General features: G+C 40.0%; 1 protein-coding gene across 10 annotated transcripts in view, besides 1 other annotated feature; it reads right to left on the reverse strand.

Annotated features, from left to right (window-relative positions):
• CPNE4 (copine 4) overlaps positions 1–26429 on the reverse strand; it is a 506038-nt gene that overhangs the window by 33894 nt on the left and 445715 nt on the right. For all 10 annotated transcript variants that reach the window (NM_153429.2, NM_001388326.1, NM_001289112.2 and 7 more), the window contains 3 exons: positions 20022–20120; positions 14117–14203; positions 7609–7668 (listed from right to left, as the gene is read on the reverse strand). In NM_153429.2, the coding sequence (NP_702907.1) occupies positions 7609–7668; positions 14117–14203; positions 20022–20120 (246 nt within the window). The remainder of the gene's footprint in view (positions 1–7608; positions 7669–14116; positions 14204–20021; positions 20121–26429) is intronic.
• Positions 804–1378: an enhancer, noted in NCBI's record as "OCT4-NANOG hESC enhancer chr3:131287110-131287684 (GRCh37/hg19 assembly coordinates)". NCBI's record gives its function as "activates a minimal SCP1, AML or CMV promoter by ChIP-STARR-seq in primed H9 embryonic stem cells {active_cell/tissue: H9 hESC(primed)}" and the evidence as "EXISTENCE:reporter gene assay evidence [ECO:0000049][PMID:30033119]".

Consider the following 26429-nt stretch of genomic DNA (forward strand, 5'->3'; position numbering starts at 1 on the left):
AGTTTGTAAAACCCAAGGAGGCACTCACTCTCAGCAGACCCTATACTTGCAAAATCCGCAGAGTGAGAGTCTCCTTAAATTTTGCACCCCAGGTACGTCTCTTGCTTTACCTCCAATACTGACCCTACTATGTCATTTTCATTCCTATCAACTCTTCATTGTCAGGCTTGGAATAATTTTCTTATGCTTAACTAGGGTGGGGCAAAGATGATGGTGAGAAGGAAAGAGTGATTGAAGAAAGTAAGGATAGAAAATGAATAGGATTTTGTGACCACTTGAATGCAGAGTTGGATGTCAGTTAGGGAAAGGGAATGGCCAGGTTTTGAGGGGACAGAAGAGAATAATATATTTTGAAGATAATGAAACAAGGTACAGGCTAATGCTAGAAGGTTAGTATTGGGCTGCCTGTTCTTGGTGCTACTATTTAAACATTCAAACATGCCTGGTGGAAATTTTACTATTATTTCTTTTCAGTCAGGCCTCTAGGGTTTCCACTTTTCCCATGGCAATGGCCCCTACGTCTATGACAACGAGAGAGGCCACTTCATCTCAGGAGATTCTCATATCGACCTAGGGGAGGGTATGAACTTAAAAATTAACTGATGAAAAAGGAAATAGGCTTATGATTCTTACCATATAGCCCATTTTATAGTTCTCATGGTTTAATAAAAAAATTTTATCATGTGACTAGACAGCAATGGACAGTCTTAAGTAAGAGTCAGCTAAAATATTTTCATTTTTATTTTCTGGAAAGTAGTGGTTCCTAAAACCTCATTTATGAAGCTGGAGATAAAATATCTATCTTCAGGGGGTGGTCTTCCACCAAGAATTCTCTGTGCTCTTTAAAGTTAGCATTAGTAGAAAGAGAGCAGAGTGAAAGGTTAGGTTTATTTTAGAAAGCAACAGGGAGGCAGTGAAAGATGGGATTAAGTTGAGAAATAAAAGCAAGAAAATGACTGAAAAATGTCAGTGTGTGGAGGTGGCTACTGATGCCTGGTTTTCTGAATACCGGTGAGCTCGCAGAGCCACCACGTTTTCATTTCCTGATAGGAAGCATTTATGGAAACCTGTGGTTCTGGTATGTGCTCCAATCTTCTCTGCAGGCAGCACAAGAACAGGTGCCCAGTGCTTTTTCCTTCTGCCCAGGAAGCCACTGCTCATTATTAAGCAGAGCTGTGGAGCAGCTTTGCAAACCTTGTAAAGTAAGAATGCAAAATGCCCCCTCCATGACACCAAGTCCCCAGTGTGTGGAGCTGTTCCTGGGAAAAGGCTGGTTGCAAATGATGAGCATCTTTCTTTGGGCATTTTTAGATTCTTACATGAAACAACCCCACTCCTCAGATCCCTTCCCTTCATCTGCCAAACAGGTCATTTGTGAACCTTCTCGACGTTTTCTAAGGGAAGCTGCTGTGTAACAACCTCTGGTTAGTTGTACCTGCAGTCTACCTTTGGGACCACATTCTTGGGGAGCTTTCTTTCTTTTCTTTTTAAATAGCTGTGTACAATTTGGACCTATACAATGAACCTTGTAGGTGAACATACTGTTTGGTCTGGACCATTTCTTAAATAATGTTACATTTTTATTCTTTTCTATTTTCAGAAAACTTTCTAAGAGGGCAGTTAAATAGGAAAGTAGGGAAAGTCACCTAAACTTACTTGGTTCATTTTCTGGAAATGGCAAAGCATTTGCCTCTTTAACCCATTGTACCCTGGCTTTGCATAGGAATTCAGTAAGCAGGGCTCACTAAGCAGTAAGCAGACTCGAAGGTCTACACCAGAGTAGATCAGTGTTCAATCTGGGATGTAAAATAAAGATTTAAAAATGTAAACTGGGCCACAGTGTGGACATAGGATGCCCTAAATGTTTTAGGGTTAGAAAAGATTTCCTGAGACTGGGTGCGGTGGCTCACACTTATAATCCCAGTGCTTTGGGAGGCTGAGATGAAAGTATAACTTGAGGCCAGGAGTTTGAGACCAGCTTGGGCAACACAGCTGGACCCTGTCTCTACAAAAATTTGTTTTAAAAAGTAGCCAGTGTGGTAGCATATGGTTGTAGTCCCAGCTACTCAGGAGGCTGAGGCAAGAGCATCACTTGAGCTCAGGAGTTTAAGGTTACAGTGAGCTTCCAGTGTGCTACTGCACTGCACTCCGGGAAACAGAGTGAGACCCTGTTTCAAAAAACAAAAAAAACAAAAAAAAACAAAAAAAAAAAGAAGAAAGGAAGAAAGAAAGAAAGAGAGAAAGAAAGAAAGAAAAAGATTTCCTGAGAGAACCTTTAATGAGTGATCTAAATTTTTAGGTTTGAAGGTCAGTCTGGGAGAAGTTGCATTCAGCAGCTTATTATATTACTAAAATATAAACTATAGTCAGAGGTAAGAGAAAGCAATATTATCTTCAATTTTTAAAAATGACACAAAAGAAATGTCCGTTTAAAATTAATAAGAAAAAAATATCACTCGCCATGCCACTAGGCTGGTAAGTCATATTTTATTTTTCTTTCCTCTCTAGGTATTTTATATATATATAGTTGTAATCATAGAGTAACTCTGCTTTACGTTTTTGTAACACTATGTCATAAACATGACCTCATGTTATTATCTAAACCTTAGAATTATAATTTAAATAGGCTTTATCATAGTCAATACTAAATAACTAAATACTATGATAATAAATATCATAGTATTTAAAGGAATACTGTAATTCATGTAGCCATTACCTTATTGTTAGACATTTAGGTTGCTGACAGAGTGCCTGTGTAAAAATCTGTGTTACAATGAACATTTTTGAGCATATGAAAAAGCAATAACCTTCAAAAAAACCTTTGATTTTTCTACCATTTTCTCTTTTTATTTATTTATTTATTTATTTATTTTTTTAAAATTTTTTATTATACTCTAAGTTTTAGGGTACATGTGCACATTGTGCAGGTTAGTTACATATGTATACATGTGCCATGCTGGTGCGCTGCACCCACTAACGTGTCATCTAGCATTAGGTATATCTCCCCCATTTTTTCTTTTCAAATACTGTACGGCATCTGTCTATTTTGTGTTATCTATAACTTTGTATTTTGTGTGTGAAATTCTAGTATCTGGTTTTATTTTTAGCTGCTCTACCATGTGCCAAACCCAATCTCTCACCCTGTGGTCTGTTTCACCTCCACCCACCTCCTCAAAGACTGCAATACTAGTTGCTCTAGAGTTCTTATGACTTAAGGATTCATGTGAGGTACAAGGACTGTCTTCAGGAGTGCCCTTGACCTCCCAAAATTGCATGCAAAACTGGATGTGTGCACTTCCCAGTAAGAGGCTATAGATCATGTATCAAATTCTCAAGTGTTCAGGTGACCAAAAAAGAATAAGAATCATTGACTGTCTAGGGCTCTTTTTAGCATCATTTATCTCTTTCCTTCCACTGGGCTGTTACCTCTGCTTATAGTCTGATTCTAGCTTAAAATCTCTTCTCTTTTAATCTTTAAATTGCCATCCTCCTTGTACCTCTTGCCTTCCCTTCACTGTTAACTTCTTGAATGAATACTTACACCTGCTGTGTTCACTTCTTTACCTTCTGTTTACACTCTAACTCCTGGGTCTCACCTATCTCGTTATGCTGAAGTTGCTCTTTTGAAGATGATATACACCTACCTACTCATCATGTTGTTCTTCACCCTCTGACTTCTCTTTAGCATGCAAGATTGTTGCCCTTGATCTTAACCTTAGCTTTTTCCTCCTGGGCATCTGAGTTACTGCCTCCCCTTGGGCCTTCTTCTCCTCTGGCATTTCTTCTCTTAACTCTTTGCCCCTCTTTCCTCTGCTGCCAGATAGAGGTCCTCTACAATTCCTTGTCATCAGGCCCCTTTTCCTTCTATATTTTTCTCTTGGGACATCTCATCCAAAGCCACATACATGTAGCTCCTGACTCTCCCCTGAAACCTAGGTCCATATTTATAAGTACCATCTCCACTGGGATACCTGAAAGTACCTCTGACGTGTCCAAAGCCAAATTCATCATCTTGCCTACAGCTGCTGTTGCCTCGCGTATTTCCCTGACCAGGTCCACTATGCTCTGTCAGTCAGGCACAAAAGCTTTGATTGCTTTCAGTCTTCTCATTGTATTCTAGGCAGAGGCTTAGTGCTTCTCTTTCCACAGTACCTCTCCTGCTGCTGCCACCCTTGTTTAGCTTCTTTTTACCTGGTACCAGGCCTGTGGCAGTGGGCTTCCATCTCTGCTTGCTTCATCTCTCGTTCCCCCATCACCACCATCAAACACCCAGGTTTACTTGTCGAAAGCATGTGCCTGTTGCTTCAAGGCCCTCGTCAATATCCTTTGGAACATGCATTATCCACCAAATTACCTCAAAATTCAAAGCCCTTCAAGTTCTGACCCCAAACTGCTTCCCCAATACTCCCCTAAATACATCCTGTTTATTCATTTTCCTAATTAAGGTTTTAGTATTTATAATTAGAATATAGTGGTACATAAATACTTAAGTTTATGGGGGATGCTTTTTAAAGCAAAACCCCAATATCATGTTTATTTATCCAATTTGTTCTTTTTTCTAAATCTAACCTCCCTTTGAAGGTTTAGGGTTCAATTATTACAATTCAGCAAAAGTATTTTGAGCAGCTTAGCAGCTGAGGAGAAAGATGCCCCCATCTTTAACACTCTTAAGATTGAACCAGAAGCACCAGCATCTATGGAAGATACAAAGGCTTTCTCCTAGCCCCTGCTTATATTTTGTATTGGTCAGAGCCACTACAGGAAACAAAAAGTCCACTCAAAAGGTGATTGAGGAAGTTTAATAAAGGGACAATTCACAAACATGTGGAAAAGGTTAATGGAAACTGACCAGAAAGAGTGGGAGGGAGCAGTTACTAGAATTCAGTAAGAGGAGTATCTTCAGGACAGGGCACCTGACAGGAACTGTGACCTTCTGTCAGGAAGAAGGTCGCTGCCCAACCACAGCCTAGCAGGCAGGCAGCTAGAGAAATAAATATTTCAAGTTCTCTCGCCTCCTATTCTTTGATCTCTGATGGCTGCCTCTCGTTGGTCAAATCCAACCAAAAGCTAAGAGCTGGAGAGCTTGGGTGGTGCATCCAAGGAGGCTTGCTTCCTGGGGCACAGAAGGGAGAGTGGAGAAGGATGGAAAGTGGCTCTAGGGGAGGAAATGGAGAACATCCAGAACTTTATGTCACCTCTGGTGCTTGAAGGCCTTTCTCCAGGGAGACAAAAAGTTTGTGTTGGCTAAAGCTCCCTGGTTGCTCAGGAGCCAAGGGTCACATAATGTGCCAATGGGGGTTTTTGCCTCTGAAAGCCTCTGAGGTATAATTACTGCAATGAAACATCCCTTTTCTCTCTCTCCTCTGCCCACCTCCATGCCAGGAAACCTTCCTCTCTTCACTTCTCATCTCTCTGCCACTTCCTTTTCATGTTGCCAGATGGTTTCAGTAAAATAACCAGGCAGATAATAAACACTTACAGACCAAATTAAATAAGACACGATACTTTTTCTTAACGATTTGCATTACAGCTTATAATTTAAATTAAGTTGCACCACTTGAGCAATAAAACATTTAGAATGAGAAAGCTGACTTCATTTTGGAAGAAAATGACATAGAAGTGACTGGTATGTTTCCTTTAGTAGAACACTGGGAATAGAATACCTAGCAATTCTCTTCTGAGTCCCCAACCTGAAACCCTACAGGAGGAAGGGCTGTGGGGAGGAACTATTGTTGGCTGCCCCCTTCTCCTCAGCATTCATCTGTACATTCTCCTCTTCTCATTCCTTGCTCCAGACTGCTCTCCTCACTCACACCTCCCACAGGTCTATCAGTTGACACTGGAGGGCATGGGGAGCTGCAACTGGGGTGTTGTTGGTGACAAACACTGAAGTGGTACTCTCAGTGGGGGAAGGTCAGCAGACTGAGAAAGGAGGGGAGAACAATGCAGGGCACAGGGATATCTGAAAGTCAGGATGTGGAGCTGGGAACACTTTAGGTTGGGGTTCAGCACCTAATTTTTGTTGGGGCTGATTCTTTGCAGCACAATTTGAAGGGCAGAGCAAGCCCCTGAAGGTTGAATACAGAGTTGTTCAAGAGCATGGGATCTACAAAATCTAAACCAGACTGAAATCAATAGAGCTTTCCCTTGAAAAGCTATAAATAGTTTCCTGAAATCACGTTTTTGCCTAAGATCTTGGGAAACTATTTCCAGTAGCTCTCCTTTATGACATTGCTTGCTTCCATACTTCCATATGGGTATGCTCAGAGCAGCAATGAGCCCACAGGACAGCTAGAGTTAGATGTGTATCCTCAGCGAACATGCTTGCTACCTTCTGTATGTGACAGTGTGAATGTAGGAAGGCTTGCTGGCTGTGCATTAGAGAATCTTAGACTTTAAAGAGGAGACCAAACTCTAAAATTTGCTCCTGTAAGCGTTCAGAAATAAATGCACAATACCCCAAGTTTAGGAAGGACATAGGTATACCTCCCTGAGATTAGGGCAGAGGATACTTCCCTAGCTAAGGAGAAGCTAGTTTAGTAAATGACCATTTATCTCATCCTTTGAGACTCCTTTTAGTCCTTTGAGCACCATCTTCCTTGGTTCCAGGAATATATAGGTCCCGTCTACTCTCTTGGGCCCAAAGCTTGACTAAAAATTTAAACCCATTTTATTTCCTTTTTTCAAATGACTGAGCCAGTCAGGGAGCTGAACAGGGCTGAGCTTCGTTAGTACATTTCTGTAAGATGAGAAATAAATGCTGTACAAGTTACATCTCTCTTGTTTACGTCCACATTGCTTTCCAAAGGGTTCTAGCACATCTGTCTTTTGCCATCTGGGGATTCTTTTTCTGGAAGTCACATCTGACCAAACCTAGGAGAATTTTGAATATTAAGTCAGTGAAAGTCAGTTGTTCCAGTGCAGATGGACTTACAACCTTGACCTACCTAGGCACTTTAAAAAGACTCAGCCTACCCAGTCAAATATACATCAGGGGTGTGTAAATCCCAAGGGCACACAAATTACATACAGGGGATGATCCTTGATCCATTCACTGAGTCTAGACACCCACTCTACTTCTCAACCTTGACCTCGGCCTGGTTCTCCAATCTTTGGAATTCATCTTTTCATTGCCTAATGAACTGTTTGTATGGCTTACTCTTGGTCCCGACTACTGGGTATGACATTGGTGCTGTGGTCTAGTCACATGAACACAACCATGGCATCTGCCTTGGCTCAGTGGAACTTACTTGCTTGGCTTACTTCCTTTCAATTTTTCTCACCAGGTGATGGAATCTGACAGGCTACTCTGCTTCATGCCTCACATAGTTACTGAAGAAATGGGAAGCGTTAGGAGGATTTCCTAGACCACCTGAGGTTGAGTGGCATAAATTTCCTGATATGATGCTGAAAACTATACTTATTAAAGAAAACAGAAGTGTGAACACATTTCAAAAACACGATACCATACGCTTCAACAATGAGACTTGAACAAAGCTGCCTGAAGGTTTTAATAAGCTTTTGTCTCTTTATCCCCCAAACCCAGTGCCACCCCTCATCTCTTGATTCCTGAATAAGAATCAAGGAATCAACATGAAAACAACTTACTGTAAACTGGATTTGGCAGCCACCCATGATGTAGTCCAAGAAAGAATGCATCTTGTGAATCTGCATAGGAGGGGAGAGGAAACTGGGTTAATAACAGCACAGTCTATTTCCTGATATATTGGAGGCCTAAAGGTTGGTGACTGATAAGCTGCTAAACCAGAGGAAAGGGCAGACAGACATCATTGAAAAAAGATGGGTCAGTTAAGTTTGTTCTGTTAAAGGAGAGAAGGAAAGCAATATTAATACAGATGGGCCTATGAATGCTGCCAATATCCATCCATTGCTCCCCTCTATTATGGTTTATGCAAATTTTAATCAGCTTATGCCTCTGAAGTGAGACTAAAACTATATTTTCAAGTGTCACTACTGTTTTGAAATCAATGATGTCTCACACTTGACTTCAGTCTTGCCTCCCTGTGTCTAAGTCCCAGTCCTGGTGACATTCTTAATATGCAGGTAATTTAGATAGGCAGTTTTAAAATACCATTGGCTGAGAAGGTAATTTACTGACAATTTCCAGTTAGTTAAATGCTTCCCCTGCCATGAACAACAATGACTAACATTTATTGGGCATTACTGAATGACAGGTACTTAACATCTTTTACCTCATTTAATTCTCAGAACAATCCTATGAAGGTGGCACAACTATTATTATTGTACCCTGTTTATAGATGAGGAAATTAAGGTCAAGATCACAATGCTAATAAATGGTAGAGTTGAGACTCAAATGATGCAAGTCTGGGTTACATACTCTGTCCTTTTGACCTCTACTCTGGAAGTCAGTATGGTTGTTGCGTTATGCCAACTGCCATCATGTGTTCTCAAGTACCTTAGGGATTTCTGGTCTTAATTTACATTTCTTTGTGATTTTGCTGCTTGGCTTGGCTCTTGGTGATATTCATGTATTCGTTTATTCAACAATTATTTATTGAATACTCACTATGCACTAGATTCTAGGACTACAGTGATTAGAAAAACACATACAGTACTTACAGTCTGGATCCTTCTACCTGGACAGCCAGTAACTGTAATTTTTGACTGTCACTTCTCAGATTCCATCTAATGCTCAGGAAGCTTCTTAGAGAGACCCAAAAAATCAGTGTTGGTCTCTCTAGATACCACCTCCAGGTGGCACACATCTATTGGCATACTTTTCTTAGAATTGATGTTCACTTGGCCTCTAAATAGTGCTTACTTTTGGTGTCCTGATGGTAATGCTTTGCCTGATAGTTGGGACACTGTGCTACTGTGTCTGCATATCAAAGAAATAAGAACTTGAAAGTGAGCAAAATAACAGTGCTTCTGAGCACTGAACTCTAAGAGCAACTCATGGAAGAAAAAAAAAATTGTGTGTACACAGTCACCTTAAGGAGAAAGATAACCATTGAATCTAGATCTTTTCTCCTGCTTCTTTGAGCACAAGGATAGTCACATAACTGTTTAGAATGTACCCAGGATTTGATTTGTACAGTTATGATAAGATGCCTGACATGGAGACAGATGTCTGTATCTGTAAGAAGAGTTTATTGCTCACAGTTCTTCAAAGGATAGGAGGCATGTTATGCCACAAAGGAAGGTCACATGGGGAAGCACCAGGATAGGTCAGGAAGCAAAAGCAATGAAGGGAAAGCATGGGCAAACCATTTACTGTGTGTTTTTTTTTCATAGGCAGGAGTGGGCAAGGCAGGGTAAGCAGCTAAGCAGGCCTAGGATTGGATAGTTTGAACGATTTCAGCAGGTTTTGAAATCTATCAAAACCATGTGAGTGGTTTCTAGTTATGTGAGACCTGACCCTAGGGGCATATAAGGTGGGAGAACATTGGCTTGGTGTGTGAGAGTTTGGTAAGGGAGGTGATTGGGGGTTTGAACTAAAAAATGATTGGTTTGTATATCAAAGGCATGCTAAAAGGCAGGTTGTTTGCTGTCTATAGGAATTAGCTAACACTGGGAGAGTAGTCCCTCTTAGGTTCATAAGGCCCAAAGTTGTCAAAGCATCAAAAAATATTGAAAAAAAAAGATTAATACAATGGCCAGTCATAAGACATTATCCCCTAGTCCCAGCAATTGGTGTAAAGGGTAGGGATATGACCCAAAGCAGACCAATTACTCTTTTCCTTCACTATCTTGTTATGTAAGGATATGGTCCTGTATATATACATATTAGGTTCCTTCTAATATGTTAGGAAACATATATCTATGTATGTATACACACACATAAACACACACATACACACACGTATACATATATACAATCATGTGTCATTTAATGATGGAAATACATTCTGAGAAATACACTGTTAGGTGATTTTATCATTGCGTGAACATCATAGAGTATACTTACACAAACCTAGGTGGTATATCCCACTATACACCTAGGCTATGTGGTATAGCCTATTGTTCCTAGGCCACAAGCCTGTACATCATGTTATTGTACTGAATATTGTAAGCAACTGTAACACAACTGTAAGTCTTTGTGTATCTAAACATATCTAAACATAAAAAGGCACAGTAAAAATATGGTATAAAATATAATAAATGGCACACCTGTATAGAGAAGTTACCATGAATGGAGCCTGCAGGACTAGAAGTTGCTCTGAGTGAGTCAGTGAGTGAGAGGTGAGTGAATGTGAAGGCCTAGACTATTACTATACACTGCTGTAGACCTTATAAACACTTAAGCTACACTGAATTTGTTTAAAAAATAAAGTAATTGCATTACAATGGCTATGAGTCACTAGGTGATAGGAATTTTTCACCTCCATTATAATCTTATGGGAGTACTGTCATATCGGTGGTCCATCATTGACAAAATGTTATTATGCAGAGCATGACTGTATATATACATAAATACATGTATATACAACTGCTCCTGGACTTACAGTGGGGTTACATGCTAATAAGCCCTTCATAAGTTCAAAAAATTATAAGTTGAGTCATCGTAAATTGGGGACCATCTGGGTGTGTGTATACACACACACACATATATGTATAGGTGTATCTTCTTTTATTGTACCTCACTTTATTGAGCTTTATATTTTTTACAGATTGAAGGTTTCTGACAACATTGCATTGAGCAATACTATTGGTGCCATTTTCCCAACAGTATGTGCTCGCTTTGTGTCTGTCACATTTTGGTAATTGTAATATTTCCAACTTTTTCATTATTATTGTATCTATTATGGTGATCTGTGATCAGTTATCTTTGATGTTACTGTTGTAATTATTTTGGGGTGCTATGAACCAAGCCCACATAAGATGGTGAACTTAATTGATAAGTGTTGTGTGTGTTCTCACTGCTCCACCAACTGGCCATTCCTTCATGTCTCTCCCTCTCCTTGGGTCTCCCTATCCCCTGAGACACTACTCTATTGAAATGAGGCCAGTTAATAACCCTACAATGGCCTCTAAGTGTTCAAGTGAAAGGAAGAGTCATGCATCTCTTACTTAAAATTAAAAGCTAGAAATGATTAAACTTAGTGAGGAAGGCATGTCAGTAGCTGAGGTAGGCCAAAAGTTAGGCCTCTTGCACCAAACAGCCAAGTTGTGAATGCAAAGTAAAAGTTCTTGAAATTAAAACAGTGAATATACAAATGATAAGGAAGTGAAATAGGCTTACTGCTTATGTGAAGGAAGTTTTAGTGGTTTAGATAAAAGATCAAACCAGATACAACATTCCCTTAAGCTAAAACCTAATCTAGAGCAAAGCCCTAACTCACTTCAATTCTATGAAGGCTGAGAGAGGTGAGGAAGATGCAGAAGAAAAGTTTGAAGCTAGCAGAGGAGGTTGGTTCATGAGGTTTAAGGAAAGAAACTGTCTCTGTAACATAAAAGTGTAAGGTAAAGCAGCAAATGCTGATGGAAAAGCTGCCACAATTTATCCAGAAGATCCAGCTAAAATCATTTGAGGAAGGTTACTACACTAAACAACGGATTTTCATTGTAGAACAAGGAAGAAGAAGATGCCATCAGGACTTTCCTGGCTAGAGAGAAGAAGTCACTGCCTGGCTTCAAATCTTCAAAGGGCAGGCTTACTTTCTTATTAGGGGCCATTGCAGCTGGTGACTTTAAGTGGAAGCCAATGTTCATTTACCATTTCAAAAATTCTAGCACTCTTAACAATTATGCTATATCTACTCTGCCCATGCTCTACAAATGGAAGAGCAAAGCCTGGATGGCATCACATCTGTTTACAGCATGATTTACTGAATATTTTGAGTCTACTCAGAAAAAAAGATTCCTTTCAAAATGTTACAGTTCATTGACAATAGACCTAGTCACCCAAAAGCTCTGATGGAGATGTGCAAGGGGTTTTATCGTTGTTTTCATGACTGCTAACACAATATCCTATTCTGCACCCCATGAATCTAGGGGTAATTTCAACTTTCAAGTCTTCTTATTTAAGAAATACATTTCATAAGGTTATAACTATCATTACGGTAGTTTTTCTGATAGATCTCAGAAAAGTAAATTGAAAACTTTCTGGAAAAGATTCATGATTCTAGATGCCATTAAGAACATTCATGAGTCATGGGAGGAGGTTGAAATATCAACACTAATAGGAGTTTGGAAGAAGTAGATTTTAACCCTCTAGGATGACCTTGAGGAGTTCAAAACTTCACTGGTGGGACAAACTGGAGATGTGGTAGAAATAGCAAGGGAACCGGAATTATAAGTGGAGCCTGAAGATGTGGCTGAATTGCCACAACTGATAAAACTTGAATGGATGAGGAGTTAATTCTCATGGATAAACAAAGAAAGTGGTTTCTTGAATCTGCTCCTGGTGAAGATGCTGTGAACACTGTTGAAATGACAAGAAATAATTTAGAATATTCCCTAAATTTAGTTGATAAAGCAGAGGCAGGGTGTGAGAGGATTAACTCCATTTTTGAAAGAAGTTCTGCCATGGGCAAAATGCTATCAGACAGCATCACATGCTACAGAGAAATCTTTCATTAAAGGAGGAGTCAATTAATGAGAAACTTCATTGTTGTCTTATTTTTAAAAGTTACCTCAGCCACCCCAACTTTCAGCAATTACCACCATGATCAGTCAGCAACCATCAATATCCAGATAAGGTCCTCCACCAGCAAAAAGATTATGACTTACTCAAGGCTCATATGACTGTTGCATTTTTTAGCAATAAGGTATTTTTAAATTAAAGTACGTACATTTTTAGACATAATGCTATTGTATACTTAATAGACTACAGTATAGTGTAAACATAACTTTTATATGCACTGGGAAATGAAAGAATGTGTATGACTTGCTTTATTGCATTGGTTTGGAATAGAACCCAAAATATCCCTGACATTGGCCTCTATACATATACATATACATATACATATACATATACATATACATATACATATACATATACATATACATATACACATATATGTATGCCTGTATACACACACACACGCACACACACACACAACATGCACACACAACAATCATCTGGATAGCAATTGAGTCCTGTATGGAGGAGTCAGAGACACGTGGGTTAAAATCTCAGCTCTTAAATTTACTACTTGTGTGACTCTGAGCTAGGTACATAACCTCAATTGAAAGTAGACATCTCAGGGTTGTGGTAAGAATTAAACAGAGTTTATTATAGTTATTTTTGCATAGTAAGTACTCAACTAGTGTCAGCATCACTCCCAGATTTGAGTTAAGAAGTTTAATTATTAGCACATGTGATTCTCTGCAAAGTTGTAGCCCCTCTGGAAGGAATTCGTAAGCCCTTTAATCTTTGCCTGTTGTCTTGTTTTTATGGTACGCTTTCAGTATGAATAAGGTACCACATATAAAACACTGGACAGGCTGGGCACGGTGGGTCATGCCTGTAATCCCAGCACTTTGGGAGGCTGAGGCAGGCGGATCATGAGGTCAGGAGATCAAGACCATCCTGGCTAACATGGTGAAACCCCATCTCTACTAAAAATAGAAAAAATTAGCTGGGCGTGGTGGCGGGCACCTGTAGTCCCAGCTAGTTGGGAGGCTGAGGCAGAAGAATCACTTGAACCTGGGTGGCAGAGGTTGCAGTGAGCCGATATCGCACCACTGCACTCCAGCCTGGGTGACAGAGCAAAACTCTGTCCCAAAACAAAGCAAACAAACAAAACCAAAACCAAACCAAACCAAACAAAACAACCACTGGACACCGTGAAGGGCACATAGTAGGTGTTCTAGAAATGTTGGCTTCCCCATTTGGAGATCTCCCTCTAGCACTGCTCTGGGCAGAGATGATCCTAACCTATCAGCGGAACTCTCCTGTCTTTGGGGCAGGACTGTCCCTGGGGAGAGGACAGTGACACTGCGCTGCCACAGCTCCATGACCACCCATGCTTACATTTCTCATTTTATGTTCTTTAATACATGACTTTTTAATTTTTATTTTAAAAGATCACATCTTTTTGATACTCTTTTCCTCTGACCACACCACCTGAACTCTTCCTCTCAGATAGCCCTAGCTTCATACTCCTGGAAGAGAGGGTTGTGTACATACCTTGCACAGATTCAGAATCACAGTGCCTGAGTTCTTGTAATTCTTCTTCTTGGCTTTGTACTTGGGATTGATGCACTCCCACTGCACCTGAAAGAAGGGTCATAGCATGAGAATCTGTTCAGGAAAAAGCTGAGTCTTTCAATAAGGCCAAGCTCCTAGGTGCTGCTGAGGACAAACTGAACTGGAGGGCTGACAAATAGTCTCTAGGTGGTAACTCTTGCATCTAGAGGAGCAATAGGGGGAGTGGTTGAGAGTGATACTCACTGTCAGACTTCTAGGTTTGAACCCCAGCAACTCCGCTTCCCTGCTTATGTGACTTTTGGCAAGTTACTTGATTGCTCTATGTCTTGAATGTCTTCTCTGCAAAATGGAGCTTATAATTATACTCTATCTCATAGGATTATTGTGAAGACTGATTAATCCTTGTAATAAATTTAGAACAGGGCCTGGCACATGTCAATGCTTACTATTAATATGGTCAAATAAAGCAGTACAGGGAAGAAGAAATCTGCAGGAACACAGTTGAGTGATGACCAAGTACTAAGGCTTACTGCCTGAGAATTGACTCAAAAGGTTAGGAATAGTGAATGCTGGCTAGAGAAATTTACTAGGGACAATAATAAATTAACATAGAACTTCATGGAGAACTAAAATAATGGATTGGCTTATGTCCCAAAAGTGACACAGTAGATCTCCAAAGGGGCCTTTTTGAAGGATAAGATCAGAGCTACAGGAGTGGCTGGGAATTAAGGAGTCAGCTGGGAACTAAGGGGAATAGGTCTCCAGCCTACAGAAGATTTAATGGGACAAAACCAATTGTGAATCAAATATCCAAGAGTTGTTGAATGTTCCTGCCCACCAACCTATGAAAGCTGAATCTCTGGATTTCTACTCAAGAGACAAAATTTCACTACCTGAGAATTAGAAGTGTCTGAAAATGAAGTAGTTTCTGAGGCAGGTGCAAATGGATAGGCTGATATAGCAGTGGCCTCCCATAATCTATTCCTCTCAGTGTCCATGCATTTGTGTAGCTCCCTCCCACAATGATGAGGCATTTAGTCACATGACTCATTTTGGCCAATGGGACATTAGGAAATGTGATATAAGCAGAGGCTTGAAAAGCGCCTGTGTATTGGGGCTGGCTCCTCTCTTGCTTCTGGGAAGTTTTCAGGGCCATATTAAAAAGCCTACAATGGTCTCCAGGAGGATAAAAGTATACCTGGAGAAATATCCTGGCCATCCTGGCTGCTGAGGCACAAATGCACGAGTGAGTTCTGTTGGCACCACGTGGAGCACTATGTGAAGCAGAGAAGAATTCAGCCAATACTGCCAACCTAGCGAATGTTGAGTACATAGTGATTGTTGTTTTCAGCCAGGAAGTTCTGGGCTAATTTTTTCACTCAGCAACAGATAACTGATACTGTAGTTTCTCATCACTGGAAGGTGCCAGCAGGACTGGGCAACTACATAGGATTTGGAAGAGGGAGATCTTATACCAGTGAAGAGTCCTCTATGACTCCTTCAAAATATGGAATTCTTGGGTGAAAGAAAGAAAGAAGAAAACATTCAAAGCAGAATCTAAAATCAGACCCCTAGCCTTGTTTTTGTCATTTAAAGGCCTAATCTCCTAATCTGTCCATAATGAATGTTGTCTTTCTTTCCTCCCTCAGATTTTCTTCTCATTTACTCTCCAAGTGGGTAGAACTTGATAAACAAGAATTATAGTCCATCTCAAAGTAGATTTAGTATTTCTGGACAAAAGAGCCCAAGTTCCTCCCAAACCTATCAAAACTGATATTGTCTTTTGCCCCAAAGCTTCCTCTAATATTTCAGTAAAACAGGTGGTTTAGGGATTTACCAAACAGTTGGAAAGAAAAGACACTAAAATTAGCTGTGCCATTTTTTGTCATTCTCAATGATTTCTATTAATCTCAATTTCTTCTATCAAGCAGGATATATTGAGTTAAAGATTTTGAATTCTATTAAAAATTATAGTGATCATCCATGAAAAGTCTACTCACTTCCTTCTCAGGCTAAGATGAGCAAGTATGGGTTGGCTTAGTCAGGAGAGGGCTCCAAGGAAGTTGAATCAAACCCGTAGATACTTGGGGTCCTTGTACTTGTGAGGTGGGTAGGGGGTCCTGATGGACCAGATCTAAATAGTTTGCATCTGTCTTGGGATGAAGTTGGCATATAACTATGGGCTATGCACTTTACTTTCCCAATCCCATTTAACTCTCCCCACAGCCCACTTTGACAGATGGAAGATGAGGCTCAGAGAAGAGAAAGAACTTTCCCAGGTCATACAGGTAGTAACTGGTAGACCTGGGATTCACACCCACATCAGTCTCATTCCAAAGCCTGCACTATTAACCACAATGCCTTCTTCTAGAAGGTCTTGGAGTAGCTCTCCTATTCTTGCAAGTATCCCCTTTGGCCACCCCAAACTAAGGATACTTATAAATGTTATTCAAGAATTAATCAAGGTTAATTAAGAATTTACCCTGTACCTATAGAATCATAACTCCCACAGGAAAAGGAAAGTTGAAAGATGTTCTCTCCTCTTTTTTTCTCTGATGCTACATACTGAGATTCCTCAGGGTTCGAGCCTCCTGTACCTTCTCTTCAGTCCCCTCTCCCTAGGTGTACTCATCCATTCTCTTGATTTTAAATGTCCTCTCTTAGTTGATGGCTCCTAAAATATATTTACGGGTAAACCTCTCCTCTGAGTACCAGTTTTTGAAACCAAATTTTGAAAACTTCCTCATAAACTGGACCTCGCTACCACAATTCTTCCTTACCTCAGGAAATGGCACAATTTAATAATCTATCCTTGAGTCAACCATTTCCTCCTTCCCTTACTCCCTATATCCAAGCCTTCAACAAACCTTGTAGCTCATATCTCCAAAATATGTCTTAAGTCTCTCCAATTTATCTATCTCTATGACTAGTTCCTTAACCCAAGTCATTATCACCTCTTATCTATAGTGGTAGCCTCCTAACAGATCTCCCTTGTCTCTCTTTAATTATCTACACAGTAGCAAAAGTAATATTTTAAAAAATTAAAACCAATCATGTCATTCTCTAGCTAGAACACTTTGCAGCACTGTCCAGTAGAATTTTCTCAATAATTGGAATATTCTGAATCTGCACTATCAAATATAGTAGCCACCAGCCACATGAGACTATTGAGTATTTGAAATGTGGCTAGCATGACTGAGGAACTTAACTTGTTATTTAATTTTATTTTAATTAATTTAAATTTAAATAGCCACATGTAGCTAGTGGCTAATGTATAGGAAAGCACAGCTTGCACATGCTCTTATCACATTTAGAAGAATCTGCTTTTCCTGGCCTCTGCCTCTATATCTGACCACATCCTATGAATGGTTCTTTCACTCTCTGCTTCAGATACACTGGTCTTTTTCCAGGTCCTCAATCACACCAAGCTCAGCCCTGCCTCTGTACTTTGCACTACTATTCCTTTTACTTCAAATGCGTTTCTCTCACTCATTACATATTGGCTTCTTTTTAATCATTAAGGGGCCTCAACTTAAATGTCAGATTATCTTTTCTATATGCACACTTTTATAATGAAACTGGTTTAGTTTTGTAATAGCATTTGTCACAAATTGTAGTTGCATTTTAACTTTTTAAATTTGTGTTTACATTCTATCCTGACTCCCACCAATCTGTAAGCTTCAGAAGGGCAGGGACCATGTCAGCATTGTTAGTCATGGTGCATTTAGAGCCTGTCACAGTGCTTGGAATTTACTAGGTGCTACTCGATAAATATTGTAGAAACAATAAATAAGACAATATTTCCCACTGTATAACTACACCAAAACAGTGGCTGGGTAGTTAAACTAAAGTTTTTCTGGTAGCTCAGTGATTCAGAAAAGCACATTAGCATATGGTCCATTTCCTCAGTGGAACTTAAACGATTTCTCTCTGTTTGAAAGCATTAGGTTTTGGTATATTTCATTTATGATATGTGTTACATTCTTACTTTTAATATTTAATTAATAAGATGAAATATTTCCCATATTTACTGCTTGGACTATTTCTATTCATAGAAGTGGATAAGGCAAAACTTTATAAAACTTTTTAGAACTCTAGCAGGTGGTATGAATGCTATCATTGATTTAGCAGCTAAATAGGACTAGTTCTGCATATTCAATAGAGCAATATTCTCTAGCTATATTCCTTGTTATCTTGGGAATGACTTTGCTTATAATTTAGTGTTGGTTTTAACTGTGGCTCTGAAACTCTGCATCCTGGCTTGTGGGTGATGGTCTCTGGGTGTTTGACAAGTTTCTTGTAATGCTGAGTACCTAACAGAGCATTTACAGCAGGTTTTGCAGGAACTAAGTGGAAAGCTGCCATTGTTTCCATTGAGTTTCCAGACCAAAGGTATGTGTTCAACAAATGGTATCATTCAGATTAAGTTTCTGACTCTAAAAAAATGTTAGTTCATTTCCATCCAGTCTGACTGTATCCTGACCTTACATATGAGAGAGCTGAAAAATGAGTTGAGGCATCTCTAATTAGCACTTCTGATCAGAACAGGCACAGAGTATTATCTCTAAAGAAAAAGACTTTCTCAAAAGCACTGAGCCCTCTGCTTTCACTCCTTTCTGCTCCATGAGGACAGTGAACTCCAGAGTAAGAACGGCAGGTGTCTTGGGTTGAGTTCCCCAAGAAGCAAATTTGAGGCAAGAATATAAGTGCAAGTAGGCCATCTGGGAGGTGATACCAGGAAGCATGAATAGAGGAGTGAGAAATTAGATAGAAGAGGCATCCCAGAAAGGGTGCATTATCAAGTCAGTTACCACTGTGGATAACTAGGGCCTGCTGGAGAACTCTGGGAAACTGTATAGAGCATACACCTCAGAGTTTTGCCAACTGAAGGGCAAGGGAGCTGGGGTATTTATATCCCAACTTCCATTAGTTATTTGTTGAGGGCTACCTCCTGTTACATCTCCTTCCACACTTCTATCTTGCTTTTGGGCATGGATAAAACAGGCTCCAGCAGATAGAGAAATCTGCCAGGCAAAGAGGTATTTCAGCTGGAAATTGGGCAGGTGAACAATAAACAGGTAAAAGGAGAAGTTGCATGATTTGGGCCCAGATGACTTTCTATCTCTATCTGTCTGTCTGTCTGTCTGTCTGTCTGTCTGTCTGTCTGTCTGTCTAGATATTATATGATATGAAAGTGTGTGTATCTGAGGGAAACACAGAAGGGGTTTGGGTTTCTGTGTGGGACAGTGTGTCTTAGTGGTATGTGGTAGTGCTTGTGTACAGGTCTTGGCATCAAATGTGTAAGAGTAAAATGATGGAACTAGAAGAAAACCTGGTACCTATATGAAAATTTGGAGGATTCAAATAATTTCTCCAAGGCATGAAAGTATTATTAATGTCACCAAATCATGGAAATATAGACCTAGAAGGAATACTACTGTTAATAGCAGATATTTTGGAAATGCTAGCTATGTGCTAGGCGCTCTGCTATCACCTAGGATTGTCTCATTTAATCTTCACAAAATTCTATGAGGTAGGTACAATTATCACTCTTATATTTTTAGATGAGCAAAATGAGGCATGGAGAGATTAAGTCACTTTTCAGGGCTACACAGGTAAAGGAAGTTAGAAATACTCTCATCTAACCTTTCTGTTTTACTAATGGAGAAACTGTAACGTTTGGGGTCAGTGTCTTGTCCAAGCACACACAATTGCTTTGGGTTGGGCTAGTTCTAGAATCTAGATACTCACATCCTACCATGCTCCCTTCTTATCACACTTAATCATACATTGATGTTTTGCCTCTTGCTGTTTCATTGGTAGCTGTGTTCTAAGGATGCATCATACCGACTGGAGGCAAAACCAAAAGTGGTTGACCATGTACCTGTTTCCCTTCCATTGCTCCTCTCATCTCCTTGAATGTCGAGGTGAATTCTCCAATGAAGTCATGCTTGCCATTGGAGTCCCAGTCCCATACTATGCACTGTAAGAGAAAACAATGATCTTTCTTAAAAAATTAAGAATGTAGCCACAGCAGCTGAAGGCAATGTTAACTTTAGGAGAAAGAGTAGATGAAAGATGTTTGGTCTGGAACCAAAGCCTGGGAGTCTAAGATTGGAGCATATGGGATGTAATTCTGGTTTCTATAGCCCTTTACTTGGACTTTTTGTAATCTGCAAATGGCCCTGTGATGCAGCAGTGACTACAATGATCTGCCCATTTTTCAGATAAGGCCAGTAAGACCCAAGGGAGATAAGTGACTTGCCAAAGGGACCTTCTAGTGAATGAAAACCTGGGACTTGAAGGCAGGTGCCCTGCTTCCAATTCCAGTACTCTTTTAGGCATAGCAGGTAGCCTCCCTGGTTTACATTGGCATTAGGTGCCTGAGTCCATCTATATAGCTTTCACAATGGCAGCTCCTGCTTCATGATTTGAATGGGGCCATATTAATCACATTTTTCTTTTTCTATTTTTTTTTCTGAAGGCAAAATAGCAATGACAACAAAAATTATTAGGAAGGCAAAAAATCTTTAAACGTACCTATGTGAAAAATGGTTGGAAAATAGTGCACAGACAATACCAGATATTTACCACACTGGTAAATATTATGCACCCATCACACACAAGATGCAACCATTCACTTCTAACAAAAGGGCTAAATATTCAGCTCTCGAGTGATACTTTTTAGAGTGACTAGACTGAATCAGCAGCAATCCCTGTGCTTGGTCACACATCTAAGTGAAGAGGAGGTCTCCACGTACTCCCAGGGTGGAGACTGGATTGGAGTCTTCAGCACTTTAGATATCATTGCTACATCTTAAGCCAAAGATTTGCAGGAAAGAAGCTCAGACCTCAAATAAGATCAAGGCAGCAAAGGGGACCTTTTGCTCAGAGGTTTTCCTTGGAATATTGGGGATCTAAGAGGCAGCTTAGTTCTTCTTCAGGGCGCAGATCCCACTGGCCGGTCTTGCCTGAAAAATCTGACTTGGTAATCTGTTCCCAGATCCTGCAGGATGCCTCATAGATCTATAATATGATCTGTCTAAAATGAAACATTGTTTCCCCCTAAATTTATTCCTACTCATTTATTTTCTGTCACAGTGAATTGCATCAACACTCATTCAGTTACTACAAACAGAAAACTGGGCATCATTCCTGATATTCCTCTTTCCACTCACCCTCCCACATCAGGTCCTCTCCATTCTGTCTCCTAACTATGGCTTGACTCCAGCACTTCTGTCTATTCCTACTGCTCCTTCTCATCTGCATTACTACAACAGTCTCCCAGCTTGTCTCCTTGTCTCACTTGTACTCCTATCCCCCTTATAACCCACTAATTATGTTAATTCCCTGCTTAAAATCAAAATGTATATAGGCTAGCAGGTCTTCCAAGGTCTTTCATGATCTGACTCCCTCAGTACTTCCAAATTCACCGTTTATGATCCATGCTTACTGTATTAGTCACGGTTCTCCAGAGGGACAGAACTAATAGGATATATGTATATATGAAAGGATGTTTATTGGGGAGAATTGGCTCGCACAATTACAAGGCAAAGTCCCATCGTGTTAGGCCATCTGCAAGCTGGGAAGCCAGTAGTGGCTCAGTTCAAGTCTAAAAGCCTCAAAACCCGGGAAACTCACAGTGCAGGCTTCAGTCTGTGGCTGAAGGTCTGAGAGCCCCCAGGAAGCCACTGATGCAAGTCCTAGAGTCCAAAGGCCAAAGAATCTGGATTCTGATGTCCAAGGGCAGAAAGAGTGGAAGGAAGCATCTGGCTTAGGAAAAAGAAGGAAATCAGAAGACTCGGCAGGCAAGCAAGGTTATAACACCTTCTTCCACCTGCTTTGTTCTAGCCGTGCTAGCAGCCGATTGGATAGTGCCCACCCATGTTGAGGGTGAGTCTTCCTCTCTCAGTCCACTGACTCAAATGGCAGTCTCCTCTGGCAATACCCTCAGAGACATACCCAGAAACAAGACTTTTCCAGCTGCCTAGGCATCCTTCAATCCAATCAGGTTGACCCCTAATATTAACCCTCACACTTACAGTCTTTGAAAGTTTCTCTAAAATGGGGTCGGTAGGAATGAAAAACATTTGCAATGACCTTTTTAAGACATCAAGAAAAACTAATTTCTCAGCTTCTGCTATCTCTTTAAATATGGAGGATTTGGCAGATAATTATTTTGCCTAAGAAATATTAAGAAGCCCTTTGGTTAGGAAGGAGAATTCATTAGAATAAATAAGAATGGAAGAGATTAAGACAAAAGGAGCTACATTTCTCTGCTGAAAAAGGTAATGGTCAAGTTGAATTTTCTCTTTGATAACAACTAGAGACACAGAGGTGGGACCAAGACATGAGAATTGAGAAGAAATTAGGGTGGGTTTCCTCAGAGGGCTGAAGATGGACCCAAGTTTGGGGTGGGAGGAGGGGAGAGACAGGCAAGGAATTTTGGAAACTATGATGTCTAATTTTCAAGGTGAGATTATTTATATACGTCACCCTTCCATTCCCCTCTCCCAATTTGCCCTTCTTCCATTAACCCCAAGACTCCAGCAAATCTGCTACCCATAACATCATTATGCTGATGGTGACTTGGAGAATAAAGGAGAGGGGCTGTGTCCATGTTGTGGGGACAAAGCAGACCAGAGAGCAGCATGAGATGGCCCACTGCAATGACCAAGAACTGAATGGGGAGCAGGACTGTGGAGAGACAGCTTGACAGGTAAATCTAGGGGTGGAACTCTACAGAAATACTGTGGAGCAGTGGAGCTCCACGGAAATACCATGGCTGTTCTGCCAACCTGAGTCCCTAAGTGAGGGTAGTACAGAACTCTCAGATGACCTATGTGTGGGTAGGAAATAAACCTTTGTTATTTTCAGCCACTGAGATTACTGCAGCATAACTTAGTCTAAGAACCATCCAAGTACTTAAAGTACTATCGTAGGAATAGGCATTACAATTTATTTTTTTCTGATTCCAAAAGTAGGAAAAACAGAATTTTAAGAGGTTACAAAGAAATAACAAAGGAAGTATTTTCCAATAAACCTGTACCAAACAAAGGAATCTGTTTGTTAAAAAGTGTTTTATTGCTGGAAATGTTCAAGCAGAAACTGCAGGACCACATGCAAAAAATGTAGTAAAGTCAAGCAGACAGTTATGGAAAATTTGGTGGGATGTTTTTAAACTTTCTTCTAATTCAGAAATGCTAAGATTAGTTCTAGTCACAAAGGATACAAAATGAAGTCAATGAAAGGCTTAGCTCATTCTGCTTGAAATGCTATGCAATGCAATGTAGCTTTGACAGGAGTGATGGGAAGCCCTTTAATTCAAGGTAGGATGAAGTTCTACCTCATTTTTCAATGAACAGTGGAACAAGTAAATGATTCAGTAATTTGGAAAATCACTCAGGATGTGCACTGTGATCATCACATTGTAGAACACTGAATTGATCTGCTGTTACAATCAGATATTTTTCTCTCTTTGTGCCAGCCCCTCCTTATTGACCCTGGCATTCACACACTCCTTACCTGGAGAAAGGAGCAGAAGAAATCTTGCTGGGCTTAGACATAGAAAGAGGAAGAAGAGTGGTTTCTGGGCCCTTGTATTTGAGGCTCATAACTTTGCCTGATAGTAAGTACAGCTCACTGAATGCCTGCATCTGACATCAGATACTTAGTCTTTTACCTTTGGAAGGAGCAAATAAAAAGGCAAAGGAGGCAGAAGCAAATAGAAGAAAAGAAGTGGGAGCAACTTTTTTTTAACACTACCCTGAAATGGGAAAGAGCAGGAGTTCCCTTCTTTAGGGGACAGGGCACACATCCCATTCACCCCTTCATTGCCCTCCATTAGATTTTCCATCATGCTTTGGTGAATTACTGTTCCCCCTTAAGCTGCCAACCTCAAGTCTTTAAGATGTTTGCAATGTGCTCTCTGGCTGGGGCAGAAAGGGAGTGACCAGCAGGCCTCCCTGAGCTGGAGGATGAGTCAGGCTTGGCAGAACTCCATCAGGGGCCTCTCAGCAGCAGGCAGTGCTGCTTACAGGGGTCTCTTTCTTCAATCAGCTAGCATTCCTCATCAGGGCAGTTGCAGAATTTTATTTTGACCTTTCTGAGAAGGGATCCCAAAGGAAGAAAGACACAGTGAAACAGACCAATAAAAACACTGTCTTTCCTTCTCTCCCTGGCATGAAGCTGGCTTATGACAGCTCTGATGCAGCTGACAGAGGAACGCATCTTGGTGAAAAGTAAACAGATCAACCACCCTGCAGAAAAACTGAGACAGAGGCAGAGTCCTTGGTGTGAATCAATAAGAAGGCCTTGACACATCTGTGAGAGCATAGCACCTCAAAACTATCACAAGCCAGAAAACCTTCTCAGGTTCTTACATCTCACAGAGCAGTTTAGGTATAATATCTTTAAAAATGCATAAGCTTGACAGATAGTCTAATTAACCCCCTCCTTTTACAGAAAAGAAAATTGATGACAGATAAGTGACTTCTGCCAGTTCACCCAGTACAGAGTGGACTAAAATCTGGTTTTCGTACCTCCTTGATTTCATCACTACCACACAAACACAAATTATAATAGTTAAAAAGTATATAGTGCGTACTATGTGCCAGACATTGTTCAGAGCACTTCATACATATTAACTCCCTTAGTCCACAGAACAACTTATTGTATGCTTATTTTACAGATGAGGAAACTGAGGCACAGAAAGATGAAGGAACTTTCCTGAAACTACACAACTAACACTAGGTAATCCTTGAAATAAAGGAAGTTAAGCATCATAGCTTGTCTTAACTGAGCATCTTTTATAAACCCAGGCCATTTGTGTTTATGGTCTTTAATTCTTTACAATAACCATGACACGACAATATTATTACTATTTACAGGTTAACTGCCATTTACAGGTGCAATTTACAGGCTTGGAGAGGGAATGTGACTTGACTAGACACCTGGTAAGTGACAAAAGTGGATCTGAACCCAGGTGTCTAATGTCATAGCTGATATACATATATATGTGTGTGTATATACACACACATATATATGTATATATATTTGTTACTGTTGTTGTTATGCCATGCTACCTCTTAATAGAAGCAGGAACTTAGAATCAAGGTCTCATGAGTCTGCTCTGTGTAAAATCCCCATTCTTTGATTGAAACTGTAAACTACTAGAATCCTCTAAGGTTTAGTGAGCACACCAAACAGTACAGAGGAAGAACCTGCTCACTGTTTCCACACAAAAGGATGCAAAGCCAAGTAGTCTGTGCATTGTCCCTGGGGTCTTCAGCTCTGTCTGTAGAATGCATGGATAAGTGGGTCTGAGGGATCGGGTTACTCCCTCCTACTCTTGTTTTATGATTGCCTTGAACCCATTAAAAGAAATGTGCTATGCCAACTTATTGTACACTAGCTTTTTGTGATGGTCAGCTTCATGTGTCAACAAGGCTATCTGGCTAGCAGTTCCCAGTTATTCAATCAAACAACAATCATCTATTTTATATATGTGGTTAAACATTTTATAATCAGTTTACTTTAAAGTAAAGAAGGTTTTGTGGTTCCATATGAATTTTAGGATTGCTTTTTCCATTTCTGTAAAAAATGCCTTTGAGATTTTAATGGAGATAACTTCAAATCTATAGATTACTTCTGTAGTACAGACATTTGAACACTAAGTCTTTCAATTCATGAACATGAAAGGTCTTTCCATTTATTTGTGTATTCTTTGATTTCTTTCATCAGTATTTTGTAGTTTTCAGTGTAGAAGCCTTTCAACTCTTTGGTTAAGTCTATCCCTAAGTATTTTACTGTTCTTGATGCTATTGTAAAAGGAAGTATTTTCTTAATTTCCTTTTCAGATGGTTCATTGTAAATATATAGAAAGGTTACTAATTCTTATATATTGATTTTGTATCCTGCAACTTTATTTTATCCTGAATTACTTTATTAGATCTAATAGTTTATTTTCGTGAAGCCGTTAGGGTTTTGTACATATAGGATTATATCATTTGTAAACAGAGATAACTTTACTTCTTCTTTCTGATTTGTTTGCCTTTTATTTTATCTTCCCTAATTGCTCTGGCTAGAATTTCCAGGACTATGGTTTGTTTGTTTGTTTGTTTGTTTTGTTTTTGATGGAGTCCTGCTCTTTTGCCAGGCTGGAGTGCAGTGGCATGATCTCGGCTCACTGCAACCTCTGCCTCCTGGGTTCAAGCGATTCTCCTGCCTCAGCCTCCCAAGTAGCTGGGACTACAGGCGCACACCACCATGCCCAGCTAATTATTATTATTAT

Source organism: Homo sapiens, chromosome 3 (genome assembly GCF_000001405.40).
Source record: "Homo sapiens chromosome 3, GRCh38.p14 Primary Assembly".
NCBI classification, from domain to species: Eukaryota; Metazoa; Chordata; class Mammalia; order Primates; family Hominidae; genus Homo; species Homo sapiens.